Raw genomic sequence first — 20,020 nt, 5'->3', positions numbered from 1 at the left:
TAATCACCCCCACCCTCAAATTTTCCAGCTCCCCTAAAGCTTATGATTTTTTTCTCTCTTATTTTTGCAAGCATCTGTTGTCTCTATAACTGGTTCTCGGTGGAAGCTATGCTGGTCTGTTATATTTTCATCGTATCCGCCAAGAGTAGGACTCATTTTCTCATAGTCAGGTACTCCTGGTGCCTACGATAATGACATGCATTCATTTGGCCTCAGTAAATGTTTGTCGTTGCTCATGACTATGTGGCCATCACAGTGAGAAAGAACTAAAGATGCAGCAAGTGAATTTGAGGTAAGAGTAAGTACAGTGTTAGAAACCCTGCCTCTGGAGCCAGACTACCTCTAAGCTCTGTTGCCCACAGGCTGAGTCATCTCCTGCTTCTTACTCACCCTCTCTGAGCCTTTCCTCATGCGTAAAATGGGAATAATGATGGGACCTACCACATAGAGCTGAGATGAGGATGAAATGAGTTGAGTCATGTGAAGTACTCATTGTTTGCAAGTTGTCAAACCAGGTTAGCTGTTATCATCATTAGCTGGTTTGTGAATTCCACCTTCAGAATCACATAGGCCGTGAGGAAAAAGTCTGTCTCACAGACCACTGCTCACACAAACACAGTTTAGAAATGCGTACACCATTGAGAATCCAAAATGATGTTTTGTAGCTGTTTTACAATGTGCCTGGGACTTGTTTGAATCAGGTGGGGCAAGATGACAGGCACAGAGACGATTGCATTTGAAAGAAGAGTTTATTATGCACAGTTCCAAGAGGAGGGGGCACACAGTGCCCTGCAGGGGTCACAAGGAGAACAGCCAGAGTTAGTCAAGAGTCAGAAGGAAGAATGAGAAAGCGTGGGCAATGGCCTTTATTACTATAGTGGCAGGAAGTTGTTGGGTGAGGATGCCCTTTACAGGGCAGGATGCAAAACACAGATGTTGGAGTTTGTGGCCAGAGGATTTGTAATACCATTTCCAAGTGCTTGCAAAAAACACAGGGAAATATGAATGCAAACAACTTTGGTCATTAGTTTGGCCCATGATTTCAAGATGCCAAATCATCCATTACATAATATCCAGAACGATTATTACACTAGTCCAAGCCAGTTCCTCACCACAACTGCTGTTGCCTGCAGTTTTCAGTGGCCACCATCCTTTCCAGTGATGTCTGTAATTTTTGCTGCCTTCTTGAAGTGGCCTCACTGGGCCTGGGTTTTATTTAAGTCTCCTATTGTTTGGCTCATTTTGGTTGGTCTCTCTCCTCCTCTTTGACTTAGCTTCGATTATGCCTGAAGAAGGATTTCCTCCATTTTGCACTCTTTCTTCTGTGTACAGGGGTTGCTCCTTTTTCACAGACAAGCAGAGAAACTTGGAAAACAGAAGGAAGCTGAGGCTGTGTTGTTAGGTCAACCAAGGACCAAGGCAGAGCCAACCTTTCAGCATTACATGCTCACCTTTCTGCTTTATGGACCGGGAGGGTCCTGGAAAACTGTTTTCCCCATCCAAAAGCCTTTTGGCAATTACTGAGGATACTTGCACTTTGAATTCTGAGACCAGTCTGTGCTGTGGCTTGGGTGAGCTGCCGACTGAGGTCTGCTGAAATTATCCGACTGTCAAGACAGGACCCAGCTACGGCCCAACACCCTTCTCTTTTTCGTCTTTTTCTAAAGAGAAGCCCCACTTATATCCATGCCAGCCACATGACTGGATAATTACAGGAAACCATGGCTCCACTCAGCTGAAAAGAAAGAATTCTTGAAGAAGAATTTCAGGCTCTTTTACCATTTCCCCCTTTTTACAGTCTGGCTCTGTGGCGTCATCCTGTCGCTTTCTTTTCTCCGTACTGTTTCTGTGATGCTTTCCTCCCCTGGCAACCCCTCACCACACCATCCTCTATTTGGATAAATGTGAGGTCCCTAATACACAACCTTCCACTCTGAATTAGCTGAACTTGTTTCCTCTCTCTTTTTCTTTAGGCAGAAAAAATATATATATTTCACTCTACAGCCCTTGCTTTACTATTGTATTTTTTACTATTATTTTTTAAGGTGAAATATATTATGGGTAGGTAGCAATCTGTCTGGTTTTGATTTCTGCTCCTATTTACAGAGGCTGTCACCTGATTATACCCTTTAATGATGGTGGCAACAAACAGGAGGAGACTCAGAGTTCTAAGAGGAACTGCTTGATTTAAGTATGTATTTATGGGAATAAAGGCAGATTCCACAGGAGCCCTGGAATTTACTCCACAGTGATTGTCTTTCTTTGACTCTGGCTTTTACTTTCCCAAATTGAGCATCCTGGTATCTGCATGTCTCTTTTGCTTGGAATGTCACGCTGCAGGTCTTAGTGCCTGGGACAGAACAGAGCACGCCACAAGTGCACTTGAAGGAGAGCTCAGAATCAACCAACCAAACCCCTCCAAGTTCCAATGGCAGCACAGATTCCAGACTGAAACGCTGCTGCATCTTGCTTCATTTGACTGAAGCAAATGCAATTGGTTTGTATTTGACATTTATTCTTTTAGGGAGGGGCTGCCAGGGGAAGGGGCATTAACCACAAATATGACAAGGTTAAAGAACAACGGGTCGGGTCTGAAGCATCGTATTGAGATGGTTGACATCCTGGGCTCATCAATCAATATTATTGACTTGGCCAAGCTTCAGGTTGGAGTAATTTCTATAATGAGATTTAGCCTGCACCACAAAATGGTGTGTTGGGGATAAAATGTCTGAAGCCAATCTTTTATGAGATACATTTTAGGAAAATGTTCTTAATCTTAAAAATAGAACTTGTAGTGTTTGCAGCCAGGAAGATGCTTAACTAGATTCACATAGGAGTCACCAGCTGTTCACAAGACAAACAGAAATGTCTGAGGTTTCCCTGGTTCTATAAAGACAAGGGAAATGGCTCCCTCTTTTCGTGCCAAGTCTGAGAGACCCTTCAGCTAAAAGCCCTCCAGCCTGAGTGGCCAGGCTTGGCACACAGAAGCTCACTTTTTCCTTTTCCTCTGTCCTCTCGTTCTGCTCTTTAAACCTGAGGAGTTCTTAGTCAGAAGAGTAAAGTGGCCACAAAGCCAAACTGCCATGGGAAAGGCAGTGCCCGACCAGCCATCTCCCTGCCTGCTCCCACCCTGGGCATCTCCTCTACCCACTCTCAGAGGTAAATGCTGTCTTTGCTGGATGAATTTCTTGACCTGGATGATGTAGTTACAGAGAGGGGAACATGGAGAGAAAACATATGAAGGAAACTGAGAGGCAGGAGGGGAGGATGGAAAGGCATTTCCAGAAAGGCTTGGTCCAACCTATATAACGAAGAATTGGGAGAGAGCATCAAGAGTATGTGGAGGGAAAATTGTGCAGCTAGGACGGATAGAGTTTCATGGTTTGAGTGGAAGAAGGAAGAAAGGAGACTGGAAGAAGTGTGGTTACGAGTTGTGAGTTATGAACCTTGAAAGTATAAAGACAATTTGAATTAAGTTACCAGCCTCACAGGGTCAGAGGAGAAAGAGGCCTCAGAAGTGATATGGCTCAGCCTCCCATTCAATGCAGGAAGCCCTTTTAAGGCATTCCTATCAAAGGGCCACCCAACCTTTACTTGGATGCCTTCAGTAATAGGACATGTGCTAGTCCATTGGCCGTATAGAAGGGTGGTTACGAACACGAATGCTAGAGCCAGACTGCCAAGGTTCAAATCCAGGGGCCACCAGCTACTGATTGCACCTTGGACATGTTACCTGATACCTTGGTTTCTGTACCCATGAATTGGGAATAGTAGTAGCAGAGTGCCGTTATGAGTATTAATTGTATATTTATATACACACACATAGACATATATAAAATTATATAAAGTAAATATTTATATATTTATTCATAAAGTGCACATATCAGTACTTGGCATATAATAAGTGGCATATATGTACTTGCTAGTATTATCATTACTATCATTCAGGTTGTTCCATGGATAAGAAAGTTCTTTTTCAGATTGAGTAAATTTGGCCTCTCTTATTCCTGCCTGTTTATCCCATTTCTCAGCCCTGAAGTAACTCAGATCAAGCCTTAACTGCCTTCCATGTGTGTCCTAAGTATTTGAAGCTAATCATTGTGACCCTCTTTGCTTTTCTCCCTTATATTCTAGAGAAGAGTTCTTGCAAATGCTGTTTCTTCTGCTTGCGACACCTTTCCTTCCCATGTTCTTCATGTTCTAACTTGGACTCCAAGTCCTTCAATACACCTTCTATCTGAGTACTTAACACATTACTTGCCTATTGTGTTAGGCGGTTCTTGCATTGCTATAAAGAAATATCTGACACTGGGTAGCTTACAAAGAAAAGAAGTTCAACTGGCTCACCATTCTGGAGGCTGTATAGAACTATGGCACCACCATCTGCTTGGCTTCTGGGGAGGCCTCAGGGAGCTTTTACTCATGGCAGAAGGCAAAGAGGGGGCAGGCACTCAAATGGCCAGAGAAGGGGAGAGAGTGTGTGGGAAGTGCCACACACTTTTTTTTTTTTTTTTTTGAGACGGAATCTCGCTCTGTCACCTAGGCTGGAGTGCAGTGGCACAGTCTCGGCTCACTGCAAGCTCCGCCTCCCGGGTTCACGCCATTCTCCTGCCTCAGCCTCTCCGAGTAGCTGGGACTACAGGCGCCCGCCACCACGCCCGGCTAATTTTTTTTGTATTTTTAGTAGAGACGGGGTTTCACCGTGGTCTCGATCTCCTGACCTCGTGATCCACCCGCCTCGGCCTCCCAAAGTGCTGGGATTACAAGCGTGAGCCACCGCGCCCGGCCCACACACTTTTATACAAACAGATATCATATGAACTCACTCGCCCCCAAGGGCATGGCACTAAGCCATTCATGAGGGATCTGCCCCTGTGATCCAAAAACTCTCACCCACGCAGCCGCACATCCAACAATGGGAATTACAATTGAACATGAAATTAGTGATCCACACAACATCCCCCATATTCCCTGAGTATAATTATAAAATAAAGGATATAGTATCTGTTCTCAAGGCCATTTGTGTATGTGTCACCATTTTGGCATATTACTTATACGTCTTGTAAACCAGGCTTCATATGAGGTCCAGCATAGCACTGTGTTTCGAAAATATGTGTTGAATGAATTAGGTGGAATACAGGAGAAGATGAGTGGACATAAAGCAAAGGCCTTCTTGAAAGGCATGTAACATTTCCCTTGGAGAATAGGGTCTTTGGAACAAGCAGGTGGGTGGGAAGAAAGTTGGCTTTTTCACACACACACACACACACACAAAAGCAAAGAATCAAAAATTATAGGCATGCTTGTAGGAAACAGGTAAACCTGTAATCCCATTAGCTGATCATATTTGTCCCTGTTAAAGCCATCAAAAAAGGAAAGTTTCTTGGGTTCTTACTTTTTGATTGCTTGGTCAGCTCTTAGTCTTTGCTTTGTTGCTCAGAATCCTGTTAATAGAAGAAATGAAAAGCAAAAGACAAAGAAGCAGGCAAGTGTGAATCCATTCATAGAATAAAGAACAAGGAAGGGAGTGAAGACGGGGACAGAGGTGGAAGGGCCCTCTGGGTCTGGATGTGGGCAGAAGGTCTTTGAAGAGTAGAGAGAGAAGATAGTGTTTTGGTAGAAGTCACTCTTAGGAGTGTGAAAGGGTTTGAAAGTGGAGAGTCACCTTGGGAGGCTTTGTAAAGGAAATTTACTTTGCACTAAAAATGATCTCTTCTTTTTAGGGTTTTCTTGTGAGACCGAGTAAAGATTTAAATGGCTTTTGATGTTCATTTTCTATCAGACTGCTATTTCTTTGAACGTGGCATAGCCCCGAGCTCCAGCCATGTGGGACCCCAGTTGTATGTGGGTCATATTCTGCTTCAGCTAGTGGATTGGGTGATAAAATCCACGGTTGCTCTTGTTCTGCAGGATGGTGAGTGAGGTATTGCCATAGCCACATAGCCCTAAGTAAGAGCACAGACATTACATAGAGGCTGCAATGTCTATAAATATGTGAAATAAGCATGGGTGCAAGTCAAAGTAGCCCATAGGTCTCTTAAAACTTCCTCTTTGGATAAACACAGACGATTTTCTCCAGCTTCCCAAACTTAACCAATGCTTAGTCATAATCTCTACCTAGATACCGATCCAAAGAGCAAATTATTCTAGGGTAAAACCAAAGGAACAGTATTCCTTGCCTTTATTTTTTTTCTATAGACCAATGGTAGAAATGTTACTCTGGATATAAAATTTATATAAAATACCAGCGTTCTTTTCCAGACTGGTTTAATGATTCCCATTAAAAAGATATTTGACTTGCAAACTATGCATTCAACAAAGGACTAATATCCAGAATCTACAAGTAACTCAAACAAATGAGTAAGAAAAAACAAATAACCCCATCAAAAGTGGGCAAAGGACATGAATAGACAATTCTCAAAAGATGATATACAAATAGCTAACAAACATGAAAAAAATGGTCAACCTCAGTGATTATCAGGGAAATGCAAGTTAAAACCACAATGAGATACCACCTTACTCCTCCAAGAATGGTTATAATTAAACAGTCAAAAAATAATAGATGTTGGTGTGGATGTGGTGTAAAGGGAACACTTTTACACTGCTGGTGGGAATGTAAACTAGTACAATGACTCGGGAAAATAGTGTGGAGACTGCTTAAAGAACTAAAAATAGAACTACCATTCAATCCAGCAATCCCACTACTGATTATCTACCCAGAGGAAAATAAGTCATTTTTTGAAGAAGACACTTGCACCCACATCTTCATAGCAGCACAATTTGCAATTGCAAAAATATTACCAATCTAAATGTCTATCAACCAACCAGTAGATGAAGAAAATGTGTTATACATACACCATGGAATACTACTCAGCCATAAAACAGAATGAAATAATGACTTTTGCAGCAACCTGGATGGAGCTAGAGGCCATTATTCTAAGTAAAGTAACTCAGGAATGGAAAACCAAATATCAAATGTTCTCAGCTATGAGGATGTAAAGGCATAAGAATAATATAATGGACTTTGCGGACTATAAAAAAATAAAAAATAAAAAAATAATTCCCTAGTGGGCTATTTTTTAGAGGACACAAATTCCTGCTTCTGATGTACAAATCCAGTCTTCTTGCAGGTTTCTGAGCTTGTTGCTCTTTTGTGGTATGCTTTTCACTTTTGTTAAAAAACACTTGCCACACATACCATAATTAGGTATGGGAGGAGGGTGAGGGATAAAATACTACATATTGGGTACACTGCCCAGGTGACAGGTGCACCAAAATCTCAGAAATCACCACTAAAGAACTTATCCATGTAACTAGAAACCACCTGTACCCCCCAAACTATTGAAATTCAAATTATTTTTAAAAAGATATTTGGGTAAAGTATGTTGTCAGAGAACCTCTGCTGAAACCTTTGCCTATCCTTGGAAAAGCCCCCAAGTTGTAAAGAAATATATATCATGCTCCGGCTCCTCCAAATGTAAAAAAAAATCAGCCATTCCTATCTAATTTTGACCACGTGTTCATATTTTCAACTTGTTTTAATTGTAGCAAGTAAGAAAACTTGACATTCTCTAGTTTTTCAAAGGAAAGGTGACGTATACATGCTTCCTAATAGGAGATCATAACCACTTTTAAAAACACATCAGCCAAATATACGGAAGAGATTGCTTTATGGTAACACAAGGAAGAAGGATCTTTAAAAATAATTCCTGGCCGGGCACGGTGGCTCACACCTGTAATCCCAGCACTTTAGGAAGCCAAGGTGGGCAGATCACGAGGTCAGGAGATCGAGATCATCCTGGCTAACACGGTGAAACCCTGTCTTTACTAAAAATACAAAAAAAATTAGCTGCGCATGATGGTGGGCGCCTGTAGTGCCAGCTACTCGGGAGGCTGAGGCAGGAGAATGGCATGAACCCGGGAGGCAGAGCTTGCAGTGAGCCAAGATCATGCCACTGCACTCCAGCCTGGGTGACAGAGTGAGACTCCGTCTCAAAAATAAAAAAATAAAAAAAATAAAAAAATAAAAATAAAAAAATAATAAAAAATAATTCTCTAGTGGGCCATTTTTTAGAGGACACAAATTCCTGCTTCTGATGTACAAATCCAGTGTTCTTGCAGGTTTCTGAGCTTCCTGCTCTTTTGTGGCTAAGCTTTTCACTTTTGTTAAAAGACACCACACATACCATAATTAGAAGTTTGGAGTTGTATATTTGGGGTAATCTCAGACAGCTACATTAGACTGGCCTCAGCTTTTCAGGAAAAAATTCATTTTGAGTTAATTTATTATTGAACATTGAGGCTATTTCAATTTGCTACCAAATCTTCACTTCACTTTACCATTAAATGTGACTTTTAAAATGTGCAGAAAGCATTTACCATGTTTTCTCTGTTTATAAGAGACTAGGTGGCTATACATGATGTTAACAATAATTATACCAGAGAAGTAGAATTACAGACCATTTTAATTGTCTCATCTTATATAATAGCAAGAAGTCTAATAAGAAAAAAGTTAAATGTTAATATTTCTTTAATAAAGAATAAAAATAAACCATTTTCTTAGTATTCCCAAGCTTTCAGAGGAGGTGGAGTGCATATGTCTCTGGCATCAATTACACATGTTCTAGATTGTTTATTAAAGGATTAGAAGAGAAAATTCAACAAAAAGAGAAAAGAATGAGGATGAAAAGAAATTATGTATGGAGGCTGGATGTAGTGGCTCACATCTGTAATCCCAGCAATTTGGGAGACTGAGATGGGCAGATCACTTGAGGTTAGGAGTTCGAGACCAGCATGGTCAACATGGTGAAACCCTGTCTCTACTAAAAATACAAAAATTAGCTGAGTGTGGTGACACACACCTGTAATCCTAGCTACTCAGGAGGCTGAGGCAAGAGAATCGCTTGAATCCAGGAGGCGGAGTTTGCAGTGAGCTGAGATTGCATCACTGCACTCCAGCCTGGGTGACAGAGCGAGACTCCATTTCAAAAAAATAAAACAAAATAAAATTGTGTATGGAGACATACAAAAACTGAATATATAAGCAGGTCTGAAAATATTGAGAGCATCTTAAGCTGGGTTTATACAATTATTTGAACAATTCAGGTCAAAAGCCACACTTAAAAATAAAAGCAACACCTGTCAATTCAAAGCAAAAGTATTTTATTTGTATCAGTTTCTACTTCCTATAAATGTAAAATTAGCCCAAAGGGTTAGAAAAAAAAGAAAAAAACAGAACTGTTCTCATTCTCTCAGACTCTTCCTCACAATGTGAACACATCAGAGATTAAAATAACACAGAATAAGGTTGGAGTTTCAATAGGCATTATCCTGAGAAATCAAGGGAAGGCTGAGAGTGGGTGGTCGGTGAATAGATAGATATTAAGAATAAAATCTCCTCTTCTTGTTTGCATGACTTGTGTGTGGAACTATGCCCACCCTTTGCTTTGCTTTGCTTTGGCGGGGAAGCAGAGTTCTGACTTGGCTCTGTGACATTCCATGACATACGCCTCAAAGCTGTGAGACATAGCGGGGAAAATGTCACTGTGTAAGGGCAGTCTGTCTCAGGGCAATGCAACATGGCCATCTGAGGCACTGCTTGGTGGTCGAGTGATTCATCAGAATACAGACACTGAACACTGTTGATCTGAGGACAAGGCATGGCAGAGATCAGTGAGATTCTGAGCAAGAATGGGGAATTACAGGGCATACTCAAATGACAAAGGAAAATCTAGGACAGCAGTCTATATGTGCAGGCAACGGAGGTGATGACAATGTGTTGATAGCAATATTTTGTTAATATCTGGGAGTTGTTAATAAAGGGTGCTTCCTGGAGCAACCAGAACAAGTACCTGCCTAAATGGAGTCAACTAATATGCTTACTAAAAGGTTTTCGAGCTAAATGGCAAATTGCTTCAGAGCAGGCAAAATGCTCCATTTAAGATTCATAATTGGAAGGCACTTTATCTACCTAATGATCAGAAGGATGCTGATTATTAGAAATGCCTGCATTAACGACAGGGAAGCACATTTGCATTCAGCTCAGAGTACGGGTAGAGGGAAAATAATAAGAATTCTCTTAAGATACAGATCTTAAGTTCTTTACTGTATTTGTGTTAATGCCTCTCCTGGAGTCCAGCCTCACATAAAGTGAGTGGAAAATAATAACCCCAGATGTGTGCTGGCCACTGCATCCTACTGCACAGAGAACCAAATGATTCTGGCAGCAGCAGCAGACCATCACACGCAAAACTTCTCTCACCAGCAAACCCACACACCTGCGAACACCCAGCACAGCAGCACAGCCAACTGTTCTAGCCACAGTGCCACTGTGAAGGGTTTGCAAATCAGGATGGGCAGGATTAAAAGAGAGCCAGTGTAGAGATTTTATATCTGTAGGAAAACAAAAACAAGATGAATGTTTCATCAAGCTCATATGGTGTCTGAACAGAAGAATAATGTGAGATACTGAAATAGAAAAGGAAAACCAAATGTTGTGCTATTCAAAGTGAAGAATTAAGGGACACTCCAAGACACAAGAATTAAGGGACACTCCTCGCCCCTTAGTTTCTTTCAATTATCCATACAGTTGGATGAAGAAGAGGAGGTAAGGAAGAAGTGAGGCTGGTATTTGGGATCTGAATTATTGAGCTATCACTTCACTTTCTGTAATTCATTCTGAATACATACACTTAGTCTTATTTTCTAAAATACCTTAAAATAGCAGCTTTTAATACTCTTAATAGCACATGTCAAGAGGAGCTTTTTTTCTTTATAATTTGAACAGAACAGTGGGCATTATTACTTCACACACGGTAGATACTCAGCAACCCTTACTGTGTGTCTCCAACTTCCATCCTTGCCATGATTATACTTTCTGTAGACACTGAGACTTGAGGTAGGAAGACCAGGTAGAAGTCCCTTGTACAATTGTCCAGCAGGCAATAATAAAGGGTTCACAGTAGAGTGCTGGGAAATGTGTGTTGACCAGATACATTTCAAAGTGAATTAATAGCATTTGGTGACCAACTAAATTTCAGGAGGAAAGAGAAGTAGCTGAAGAGGAGGCTGATTTCTCTAGGTCGGATGGCCAAGTGGATGGAGGGACCATTATTGGCTGGGGACGCAGGTCTGCAGGTCATCCTGAAGAACATCAATCATGTTCCTGGCAGGGAGGCCCTCGGGGGGAACTGGACCACGTGGGACTGTTTGCTCTGCTTTTTAATTTTCTCTCTTCTTCCTTAGCTGTCAAGCTGTCAGCTGTCACTTCTTGCTACTGTCAGTTCTAAGCCCTTCCTTCTTTACTTCCTAATTTGCTGCTTCTGGAAAGCCTGAGAGGCAAGGCTGCTAGAAATATATGTAAAGCAAGAGTCTATGGAGGCTAAGTAATGGTCCAAGGACCATTGACTATTATAAAGTACAGGCCTTCATGATTACTGTTTCAACTGCTCAATTTAAATGGATTAGGTCTTCAGAGATCTGGCACTCAGATAGCTAGGGAGGTATTGATTTCTATTTGTGTAGCAACTTTGAGAATAAAATTGTTCTTCAAGTCATCCAATGATTCTTAATTTTTAAGGTAAGATTTTAAATTGGCTGCTACATAATAAATCATAGCTAGCACTTATTGGGCACTTAGTAGTTGTCAGACCCTGTTCTAAGAACATTTCACGTAATATCACTTGTAACCAGCCAGGAGTCCTAAGGATTGTGCAGTATTATAATTACCCATTTTATAGATAGAAAATCTGAGGCATAGAAAGGTTAATTTTTCCAAGACCACTGAGTGGCCATAAGCAGCAGAGCCAGATTTAAAAGCATGGCCAGGCGCGGTGGCTCATGCCTGGAATGCCAGCACTTTGGGAGGCTAAGGAGGGCGGATCATTTCTGGTCAGGAGTTCAAGACCAGCCTGGCCAACATGGTGAAACCCTGTCTCAGCTAAAAACACAAAAATTAGCTGGGCATGGTGGTGCACACCTGTAGTCCCAGCTACTTGAGAGGCTGAGGCAGGAGAACTGCTTGAATCTGGGAGGCAGAGGTTGCAGTGAGCCGAGATCATGCACTCCAGCCTGGATGACAGAGTATTAAAAAAAAAAAAAAAAACTCTGTCTCAAAATAAATAAATGGGCAATTAGGGTGAAATGCAGTCATATGGGCTGGCACTGTTCCAGTATGACTGGTGTCCTTATAAGAAGAGATTACGACACAGACAAACATAGAAGAGGACCCTCTAAAACCAGAGGGAAAAGGTGGCCATCTGCAAGCCAAGGAGAGAGGCCTTAGAAGAAAACCCTGCTGATACCTTGATCTTGCACTTCCAGTCTTCGGAACTGGGAAGAAATGCATTTCTGTTGTCTAAGCCACTTAGCCTGTGGTATTTTGTTACGGCAGCCTGAGCAGACTCATACACGCTGACCAAAGAGGTTGGTATTAAGAGCTTTACGTAGAAGCGCCCTGAAAACAACTTCCCTCCTTGACTTTTCTCCCAAATCTTAAGTTCATTGAAGGGATTAGTTCAGGGAGAGGGAAAGAAGTTTGGTTTCTTAGAAGATGGGAGAAGGCCGAAATGAAGAACGCAGAGGAGTGGAGAAGATTCCTCAAGACCAGAAGGGCTCATGGGGCTCAGTGAGTGCAGGCCTCTCATGGCATCCTCTCAGTGCTCTGGAAGAGAGAGTGCTGTTCCAGGCATAGTTCCAGGACACGGGGCTCCAGCCTTGTCACCTACTGACCCCTGGGTGCAATAATGACTCAGTTGAGTTTCTGCCAGATCAATAAGATGGAGATTCAGAGAAAGATATTTTATAATTTGACTATTAATTCAAAAAATAATGTGAATTAATACTACTTTAATACTAGTTTCACACCCAAGCTTGTTAAATGGAACTCAAGTAGGATCACACCCTCTATGGAAGAATTAATCACCCAGTTGTGCCAAGACTCCAAGCGGAACACTGACAGTGGTGATCACAGTTGCTCTTCCCTGCCCAGCATCACCCCTTCTTCTTCTGGCAACACACCCTGATACCTTTTGGAGCAATGACTTTCCTCCCTAAAGTGCCTGCTTCTGGAGGATTGTCACTCAGGGGGCTTGCGTCGCCAAGCACAAGCATGGGACCCAACTGGACCAATTGGCTTCTCTCTCCCCACTCTGAATCTTGAAGTGGGTGGTAGAAGGAAGAACAAATGCTAAAATTAATTCATCTCAGCTTTGGCTCCCTAAAGTAAGTGGCCAAATTGCTGGAGTTCCTTGGAGATATCATAATAAAACTGGTTCCCCAGGCTTGACTTGCATCCTGTAGGCATCCATATCTCCCTTGAATAAATTTCCTTTTGTCTATAGTTGCCAGAGTCTATTTCTGTGGCTTTCAACCACAAAAGAGCCCTAGTTAATATAATGCCTGTGGAATCAGACTCTGAAAACTAAGATGGAAGTAGTAAATGTGGTACATTGGTTCCCATTCTTTTGGAAAGGTGTGTGTGCTTGTTGTGTGTTGAGATTTTGAGCCACCCATTTTGATATCCATTTGTTTCAGTACCATTTATTGAAAAGTGACTCATCCTTCACGCGTTGCCTTTGCAACCTTGTCAAAAATCAGTTGTCTATATCTGTTTCATTTCTTTCTGGACTCTCTAGCCTGTTTTATTGAACACTTTGTCTTTACACCAATATTATGCTGTTTTGATTACTATAGTTTTATAATGATATTGTCATATTTGGGTGTGTGTGTGTGGATATGTGGGTGTGGGGGAGAAGAAAGTTGCAGTCATCAGGACATTTCTTCCTTAAATACTTAATATGCAAGTTTTAAAAATAAGGGCTTTGTCATACTTGTCACAGCAAAGAAAATTAGTAATCCCCAAATATCATTTAATATACAGTCCATATTCAAATATCTCTAATGTCTCCAAAACATCTATGGCTGTTTTTCTTAAAAATGTATGATAGATCTTTTATTAGTATCTCTAGCTTTGTCTTTGATGATTTAGAATTTTAAACTTTTTTCCTTGGGTCAATGTTCATAATTTATAATATTACTAGGAATTCATCCTTCCAAGTTTTGAAAACTATTATATAGAGTTGCTTATTATATTCTCTTAAACGATTTTAATCACTCCTATATCTATGGTTATTTCTCCTTTCACGTTTCTAATGTAACCTATTTTTGTTCACACTCATCGTCTTTATCTCTCTTGCTCACTCTTTCCTTAATCAGGATTTGAAGGGGCTTATCTGTAGATGTCACTGGTCTTTGCCAAGAAGCAGTATTTGAATTTATTTTTCCTCTCTGTAGATATGCTATTTTATTACCTTTGTATTTTATTTTTTTTTCATCCGTCTTCTTAGTGTCTTTGAGTTTACTATGTTGTTCTTTTTAGAAAACTATAGAAGTAAGTCTTTAGCACCTTTTTGGTGGTTCACTGGCAGTGAAGGCATTCAAGGCTATAAACTCTTCTCCAGGCTGGGTGTCATTGTGTCTGATGGACTTTGTATTTTGTGCACACCTTTTCACTGCTTTCTAGAAAGCTGGTGATTTTTCTTTTGATTTTCTCTTTAATCCAAAGATTATCAACAGCTGCCTTTTAGTTTCCAAATGGGTAAAATGTTTGGCCATTTTAAAATTGCTTATGTCTTATTTTGTTAGATTGTGTATTGGAAAATCATGTCTTATAACATCTCAATGCTTTTGAATTTTTAAGGTTTTAATTGTGGATTTATGTCACTTCTTATGATCACTTTTTATAGATATTCCTGGACATTTGAAATAATGGAGAAATATACTCCTATTCAATGGATGTAACATTCTATAGTACAAGTTACATTTAGTTTACTGATTGTATTTTTAAATCCTCTATGTTCTTGCCTACTTTTTTTTCTGCTGCATATGCTAAGGGAACTATATAGCAGCCCCTGATTACAATAGTAATTTTATCAAGTTATCCTTGGATTTGTAATAGTTTTGCTTGGGGCATTGGGCTTCTACAGTTTGGTGTGCAAATGTTTTGTCAGTTGCATTGTTTTAATAAATGTCAGTATTGTGGTTCCAAAATGGCCCTGTACATCCTGTTGAGTGATTTTACCTCTTCTGTTTATCTTCTTCCATCTTCAGATGCCTCTTCTGGTTCACCTGTGGTTGGTTTTCAGTCTTAATTATTTCCTCGGAAAGGGGTTTTGTGGTGCTATAGTTTCTATTTGCTTATCTTCAAATGTCTTTCAGCCTGATAGATGGAAGATATCTTAGCTGGGTATGGGATTCCTAGGTTGCTGATCCTTCTCTCTTTGATGTGACTCCATTGTGTTTAGCTGTCAGTGTTGCAACTGAGAAGTCTTAGGCCACTCTGATGAGTTTTTTGCTGTATGTATATGTCTTTTGTGGATGAGAGGAGTGGTTTGAAGGATGGGAAAACAATGTCAACCAGGTGTCACCACGCACAATTCCAGGAGGCACCATTCACATCAACTTTCATCATAAGAGTCATGGATGACTGCAGGTCAAATTCTTTCCAGCATCTGCCACTGTCTTGTCCTCATCCTAGGCTATCTGAAGCCTCATCTCCAGGTACTTCCCCAGCCTATAGGGAAAAAATACTTCCACCAGTTTTCTCCACCTGGGCTTCCAGAGAGCTAAAGGTCTCCTCTAAACCTCACTTCCCTTAGGCCTCAGTAGGAAGACTTCAGGAGATGCAGAGGCAGAACTGAGCATGGAGATAAAGAGGGTTGCTTTTGGGTAGCCATGGGCCCAGAATGTCCCTCATCCCTTAGAGCGTAATTCGTTAAGCAAGGCTTGCTTATAATTTTTCCTCTACAGATGTGAGCTCTTCAAATTGAGAGATCTCTCAGTGACAACAAAGTGGCTGTACAAAAACTATAACATCATTTTAAACAGATTAGGCACTAAATTAGTCTGGGCGCCATAGCTCACACCTGTAACCCCAGCATTTTGGGAGGCTGAGGTGGGTGGATCACTTGAGGTCAGGCGTTCTAGACCAACAAGGTGAAACTCTGTCTCTACTAAAAATGCAAAAATTAGCCAGGCATGGTGGCGGGCGCCTGTAATCCCTGCTACTCAGGAGGCTGAGGCAGGAGAATCGCTTGAACCCAGGAGGCAGAGATTGCAGTGAGCCAAGATTGCACCACAGCACTCCAGCCTGGGCCACAGAGCAAGACTCTGTCTCTAAATAAATAAATAAAAATAACGGGTTAGGCGTTAAATTATTTCTTCCTAAAATAAAGCTGAATGTGTTGGAATCATTGTTCTCTATTAATAAAAAAAGAGGAATATTAAAAATTTCAAGCAAAAATTTGGCTTGTTCATGGTCTAGGAAACCTACTAGGCAGCCTGCTTTTGAAAAGGAGAAGATAAGGCTCCACAACACATGGCGTGACAACCATTTATGACCTCTCCAGAGACAATATTCCACATGAGACCATCCGATTAGAAAGCAGAGTCCATGAAATAGACTTGTCTTGCTATTTCTGTGTGCTTTTAGGAAGCCTATGCTCACTGAGAAGAAAGAAAAGAATGTTCCTATAAACTTGTGATGGAAAAGCAATAAAAGCCACCAGAGACATTCTGAAATTTTTATTCTAATATTTCACTGACCAGAAGGAAGAAGCAGGAAGCCTTGCAAGGTTCAAGAAATAGTTGTCAGCAATAAGGAGAGACCACATTTTTCTGCCTCGTATAAAGCTTAAAAAGCAGGGGAATGGTGTTCAGAGAGAAAAGAGCAATTGATCTAATTGGACTAGAAGAAAGTATACTTTAAAAATTTTTTATTATGATAAAAATGCATAAAATGTGGCATTTTAACCATTTTCTTATTTCTTATTTTTTATAGACAGGGTCTTGCTCTGTCACCCAGGCTGGAGGGCAGTGGTGCAATCATGGCTCACTGCAGTCTCAACTTTCTGGGTTCAAGCCATTCTCCTCCCTTGGCCTCCAGTGTAGCTAGGACTAAAGTTGCAAGCCACCATGCCTGGCTAATTTTATTTTTACCATTTTCAAGTGCATAATTCACAGGGATTAATTGCAACTATCACTGCCGTCTTTTTCCAAAACATTCTCATCACTCCCCACAGATACTCTGTACCCATTAAGCACTAACTCCTCATTCTCCTTTCCCCAGCCCCTGGTATCCTCTGTTCTACTTTTGTGTGTGTGTTTCTTTATGAATTTACCTATAGAAGGAAGTATTTTTGTGTACCAGGGAGCAGTAAAACTAAGTCAGTGAAAAGACTACCTCTTAATCGATTCAGTACTGAATTCCGTAGACAAGCGAAGCCACGCAAGGTTTCAGAGCAAAAAATACAACCCGGCTAGAGCATTGCTTTCAGAAGCTTCATCTGGCAGTGGTTTGTGGGATGGATTGGGGTCTGGAGACCAGTTGAGAGGTTGTTATAAAAGCCCAGGCTGGGGGTAAGGAGCACTTGGAGCCACTACTGAAATGAGAAAGAAGATTTAGGAGACATTTTAGGGAATATACAGGAGGAAGCAGCCACAGGACCTGGCAAAATTACCTCGGGGTAAAAAGGGAGGGAGGATGACAGATGTTTTGAGTCTGGGTGACTCGGGTGATTAATTTTTAAACTATGCATTTTTAATTAGGCTTCTATAAAAAGTCACAAAACAGTCATTTAAATTATCAACAAAGCGTTCCAAAAAAAGATCAGAATCGAGTGTGATGTTCTTTTAGGAAAAAAACCTGAATCAAACAAAAGAATTCTATCTTCTAAATGTCAAGGTTCATGTGACATGACATGGCATTTTATAGGAAAGGAGGGAGGTAGGGAGGACCAGGGTAATCAATCAATCTAGAATGCTCGAAGGTAGGAATTCAAGGGAGGGAGAAGGAACTGACTCTATAAGGAAGGCCATTATTCGTGGAGAGCATGTTGTGGCTAATATTTAATAATAAGAAGTACGATATTATGGCTAGAAGCATGGAGTCTGAATCCAGACTTTTTGAGTTCAAATCCTACTCTGTCATGAACTAGCTGTGTGACCTTGGTCAAATTGCTTAACCTCTCTGAACCTCTGTAATATGGGTTAATATAATATCTATCTGATACAGTTGTTTGATTAAATGACTTAATATATATGTAATGCTTAAGTACCTAGCACATAGCAAGTGCTATACAAGATTTTGGCACCATTATTATTCTTAGGCTAATTTAAAAGAGCAACGTAAAATTTAAAAAGTTTCCCTGTAAGGTTGAATAACTTACTAAGGAAATCAGAAATAAAGGAATCACAAAGTCCGACATACAGCCACAGCTGAAATACCTCTTTTCTGTGATTTAAGAATGCTGCCTTCTTAGGCCAATGCTAATTATTCACCTGCTTATTAAACATTATTTAAAAAACACTTAAATTGGTATGATACTAACTCACTTTTTAAAATTCATTGACTTGGAATTTTTCTAACCAAGATTAAGTTTATTTGTTTCAATGGTCTGAGTCCATTCACTTTTTTTGCCCATGACAAGGGATGCTGAGTTGAACAGGAAGTAGGGATCAAATCAATAGATAGTTGACTAAATGAAGGAAACAATGATTTGTATATTTTCCGAGGCGATCTTTGAGGTCAAGGTCTAAATTTAGGAATATGGATCTTTAAGGATTTTTTGCTTCATTTGTAACTAAAATCAGGGCAGCGGTTCAAAGGACAGACTCAGCTTTTACACCAGTGGTTTTTTTCAGTGATTTTTCTCCTGTGAGATTTAGAAAATGCTGTGCTTACCATCCAGTGCCTCTGTCGTGCACCCCTGTCCTTCGCTAGGGCTGCACGTCGTCACACCCACCTGGCCTAGAATTCCCCATCTCCGGGTGGGACCGGAAGACAGTCTACCTCCGCACGCCGTGCTCTGCGGGAAGCGGTGGATACTGCTGCCCTCTGCTGGTCACCACTTGAAACACTTCTGGGCTTTTCCGAGGAAAGGGGCTGTGAATAAGCAAAAATCGCAGCACGAGAAGAGGGATGGGTTCGAAACCTCTGTAACCCGAAACCGTCGAGCTCACCCACCCACCAACCTCCTGTGCACCTTGCAAAAAACAAAAAAAAATTTTTTTTTTTTTTTTTTCAAAATAAAAACAGGCCAGGCGCAGTGGCTCACACCTGTAATCCCAGAACTTTAGGGGGCAGAGGCAGGTGGATTGCTTGAGGCTGGGAGTTCCAGACCGGCCTAGGCAACATAGCGAGACCTCGTCTTTACAAAAACTACCCAAAAAAGCCGGGTGTGGTGGTGACCCCCGTAATCCCAGTTACTAGGGAGCTGAGGTGGAAGAATCACTTGATCCCAGGAGGTCGAGGCTGCAGTGAGCTGAGATCGCTCCACTGCACTCCAGCCTGGGCGACAGAGCAAAACGCTATCTCCAAAAAAGTATTAATTAATTAGTTAAAATAAAAACAGTACTAAGTAGTACAGATGAGTGATAGGAAGTCCAATACGGTTCTGATTCGTCCCATGATTAGACCACACCTCTTGTTTAAATGTTTACTGGTTAATTCTTTCCCAATGTTCACTTTCTTGTTCCTATGCTTTGCTCCATCAGCGGGTGGTTGAGACAGTGCTGTTTCAATATGTGCAGGGTAGTTTCTTCAAGTTTATCTTAAGAAATTGCAGTGTACTTGCTGCATGTGTTACCATAGTGCTCTGTGGCTGTGTCTTAATTTCACTTGTTTGCTTACACAAATCAGAGACTCACCCTTCTTTTGTTTTTCTTTCGATATTCCATATTCTAGTGGTTCCTTTGAATTTTTGCTTTTATAGTGTCTCTCCTCTAGTCCTCTTTATCATTTTTGTTGTTAAATAATTGCATTTGATTTCTGGAAATTGCTCCATATCAGCTCATGAACATTTTCTTTATTTATTTCTTTATTATTTTTTACAGCTGCATAATACCCCATCATGTGTTATGTACCATTGTGTATGCAACCATTTTCCTATATTTGGGCATTTAAGTTGTTACCAGTATTTTACAATTTTAAACAATACTGCAATGAATAACCTTGTGCATGGGT

The 20,020-nt window shown here is 40.8% G+C and overlaps 1 annotated feature.

Moving 5' to 3' along the window:
* Positions 710 to 1,004: a silencer, noted in NCBI's record as "tiled region #15028; K562 Repressive non-DNase unmatched - State 24:Quies". NCBI's record gives its function as "represses a minimal TATA promoter and a strong SV40 promoter by Sharpr-MPRA in K562 cells {active_cell/tissue: K562}" and the evidence as "EXISTENCE:reporter gene assay evidence [ECO:0000049][PMID:27701403]".

The sequence above is a fragment of the Homo sapiens genome, chromosome 3 (assembly GCF_000001405.40).
Source record: "Homo sapiens chromosome 3, GRCh38.p14 Primary Assembly".
NCBI classification, from domain to species: domain Eukaryota; kingdom Metazoa; phylum Chordata; class Mammalia; order Primates; family Hominidae; genus Homo; species Homo sapiens.
This window is presented reverse-complemented; position numbering and strand designations above follow the sequence as displayed.